General features: G+C 45.1%; 1 annotated feature.

Moving 5' to 3' along the window:
* Positions 338 to 457: an enhancer, noted in NCBI's record as "active region_10513". NCBI's record gives its function as "activates an Ori minimal core promoter by ATAC-STARR-seq in GM12878 lymphoblastoid cells {active_cell/tissue: GM12878}" and the evidence as "EXISTENCE:reporter gene assay evidence [ECO:0000049][PMID:35858748]".

Here is a 3,277-nt window from a genome sequence, read left to right as displayed (position 1 = left end):
AACAGAAAGAGTCTTAATACCATCAGAAGAGAAGACATAGAGAAGAGAAGGAAGCCTGACCATGCAGGTAGCAATGAGAGTGATGCAGCCAGAATTCAAGGAATGCCAGCAGCCACCAGCAGATGAAGAAGCAAAGAAGGAATTCTCCCCTAGAGCCTCCAGAGGGAAAGCCACCATTGAGGGAAATGCCAGCTTCCATGGTGAAGGCTGGAGCAAGCAAGCTGATTGGTGGAAATGAGGTCACGTGCTTTTACCCTAGCTGCAAGGGAAGCTGGGAAAACTGGTATCAGCTTCTGCAGAGAAAGGTGGGAACAGAGACCAGGAGGATTCCCTCAGCATAGGTAGGTTCTGGGCAGTCAAAAATGAGGAGAGATGTTCTCTAGAGGTGGCTAGCAGAGCACATCTTCATTCTGCACTCTGACTCCTCCTATTAGTTGGAAATAACAGGGAATCCCCTGCTTCTCCAAGTCTAAGCAGCTCTGCAGCCACCTTGCTGGGTGAGCCAGGTCTCAGGTGTCTTGCTCCTGTGTTTCATGAACTATCGGTTTTGCTTGCCCAATTCCATTACCGTAGCAGCTGGGTTTTAGTTTTGGTTTTGTTTTTTTCTGAGTTAACTATTCTTTCGTTGTCAGGGCTTGCATCCTGTTGAAGGCTGCTCAGCAACGCAGGCTGTGTTACATGATGTGGCCTCACCACTCTCCCCAGTATCTCTCCACTGCTCCCTGGGCTTCAGCCGCACTCATTTCTCCCACTGCTTCTGGAATATTCCAGGTACCCTGCTCATCAGGGCTGTCGCTCACTTGCTCCCTTCTGCCTGGAATACACCTCCCTTCCACCTGCTATGACTTACTGCCTCATTTGATTCAGCTCTTTGCCCAAATGTCACCTCTTCCAAATGACTTTTCCCAGCTGCTTGATCTAAAACAGTAGCCCCTTCTCATCACTCTTCATCTTTTACCTGCTTTACTATAAAAGCATTTATCACTAGCTAGTATGAATTATGCATTTATTCGCTTATTTTTTTATTGGGCACTTTCCCCCCGCTAGAACACAAGTTCCATGAAAAGAGAAATCTTTATATTTTGCTTGCTACTGTATCCCTCGTGTCTAGAATAATTCTTGAAATGCAGGAGTTGTTCCGCATGTACTAGCGGAATGCATAAATTATATTGTCACTAATAGTTTAAATATTTCCCCTTTTTAACTAGGATTTAGTCATTTCTAGAAAATGATTCTTTCCATCATTCTGCCTGTCTTCCAGAGCCTAGCAGAGTGTCAAACTCATAATGGGCCACAGGGAATATTTATGGGAGGGATGAGTGAATGGGTGAGCACATTTAGACTCTCGTTAAAACCAAACACTTGGCAATAAAATGCAAGATTCTCAAGTTGCGATTTCTTCTAATGGTATTTCCCAACTTTAAGCTGGCATCCAATACAATCATTTCTGTCTTTCTAGAGCTGTACTCACACATATAGACAGCTTATATGGTTTTGTACGCATGGAATCTTATGCTAGTAAGGAGTGATAAACATTTGTCTACTTTGTATGTTTATTCATTAGCACAATCTCTTCCCCCTCCACCAGACAAGAACTGATGTTGAACACCATTCTGTGGAACAGATAAACAGGGATGGTTTTGGCTGGGGGCCCCGGTCATTGTCCACATCACCTACCCTTGTGTCATCACAACTCTAAGCTCTGGGTCTCTCTGGCAGCTTTGGAAACACCTGTATTGAGAAGAACAAGGAGTGTGTTTGTCTCTTTCAGATTCCACACAAATACCCCTTATTCCCTTTCTCTTCTTTTGTTGGCAATGAAGATTCTAGGGGTGTGTCCAGGCTCAGACAGCCTCACGGGAGGTTGCAAGCCTGGGTAGGGGAATGTGAGCAGAACAACCAAGACAGCCTAGATGGAGATTTCTGTCCTCATGGTTTAATTCCCTGTATTTCCTTTTGGCTCAATCTTGGGCCATTAAAGGAAGAGGCTTCATTATATATATGTGCGTGTGTGTGTCTGTGTGTGTGTATGTTTATTTTTATATGTATATATATAATTTATATATATAATCTGCTATGTACTATGTACTATATTACACATTGTATATACTGTGCCGTGTACTATTAGGTTGGCACAAAAGTAATTGCAGTTTTGCCACTTTTATGAGAAAAAAATGCAATTACTTTCACACCAACCTAGTATATTAGAGCATTATGTGGATCTCCACACATTGGATGGTAGGGATGAGTATCATACCTATTTTACAGATGGAGGAATGAAAGTTTCGAGAGATGATCGTATTTACCTAGGACCGCAAAGAGACAGAGACCTTGAAACTAGATTTGACTGTCAACCTCTACCTACAGAGGAAAGGAGGAGTGATCACTTCTTTCACAATCCATTGGTGTTTTTCACCAATTGCTTTTGAGAGTTCAAGATCCACGACCGGCAGCAGAACTCTCAGCCTCATTGGGCGCCCAGGGGCACTCTGGCAGGTCCCTGGGAAATGGTGCCCCAGCCTCTTGATTTATTGAGATTGCAGCTTGGCTGATGGCTGGCCAGCATGAAGTGCGTGCTGATGAGGAGGTGCCGTGGGCCATGTGGGCCTTGGAGGCTGCTCTGCCTGGGAAGCGGATTTTTTTTTTTCTGTCTCATGATGGATGGTGCTGGGACCTAGCCAGACAGTGTCAATCAATCCACAATTCCTGGGGACCTGCTCTGAGTCAGGCACTGTGCTAGGTGCTGGGGATACCCCAGGTTGTATGACAGCCAAGCCTTGCCAGGTCAGCAAATCGAAGGCTAGTTTTAAGCCCCAACTGCCCCTTTGCTAGATCCCTTCACACAGTGCATATAAGGGCAGCCTTGGTCCCTATTCTCATGGAGCTCCATCAAAAGGTGGAAAAATACACAAGCCTACTGAATATGTCATTTTATAAGTATGATAAGGAGGGCATGGGACTGTATAGATAAAGGAAACTGAGCCAGGTTGGGCAGCATCAGGAAAATCTCTCTAGAAATAATGTTTGCGCAACAATCAGAAAGATGAACAGGAGTAAATAATGTGGGTTGTGTGGATGTAGAAGGGGAGACACATGGGCAGAGGCTGGAATCCAAGCTGTGGGAAGAACTTGTGGGAAGCTGCAGTGTGATACTGAAGGTCCTGAGAGAAGTCTAGTGCAGTGGGGGCCCAGTGAGCAGAGTGGAGCGGTGTGTAACCCGAATAAGACCAGGCCACCTATAGTCCAGTCTTCATAGGACATTGTGCCAGAGAGAAAC

This window comes from Homo sapiens, chromosome 16 (assembly GCF_000001405.40).
Source record: "Homo sapiens chromosome 16, GRCh38.p14 Primary Assembly".
Taxonomy (NCBI): Eukaryota; Metazoa; Chordata; class Mammalia; order Primates; family Hominidae; genus Homo; species Homo sapiens.
Note: the sequence above shows the minus strand (reverse complement) of the source record. Positions and strands in the feature narration are given on the sequence as shown.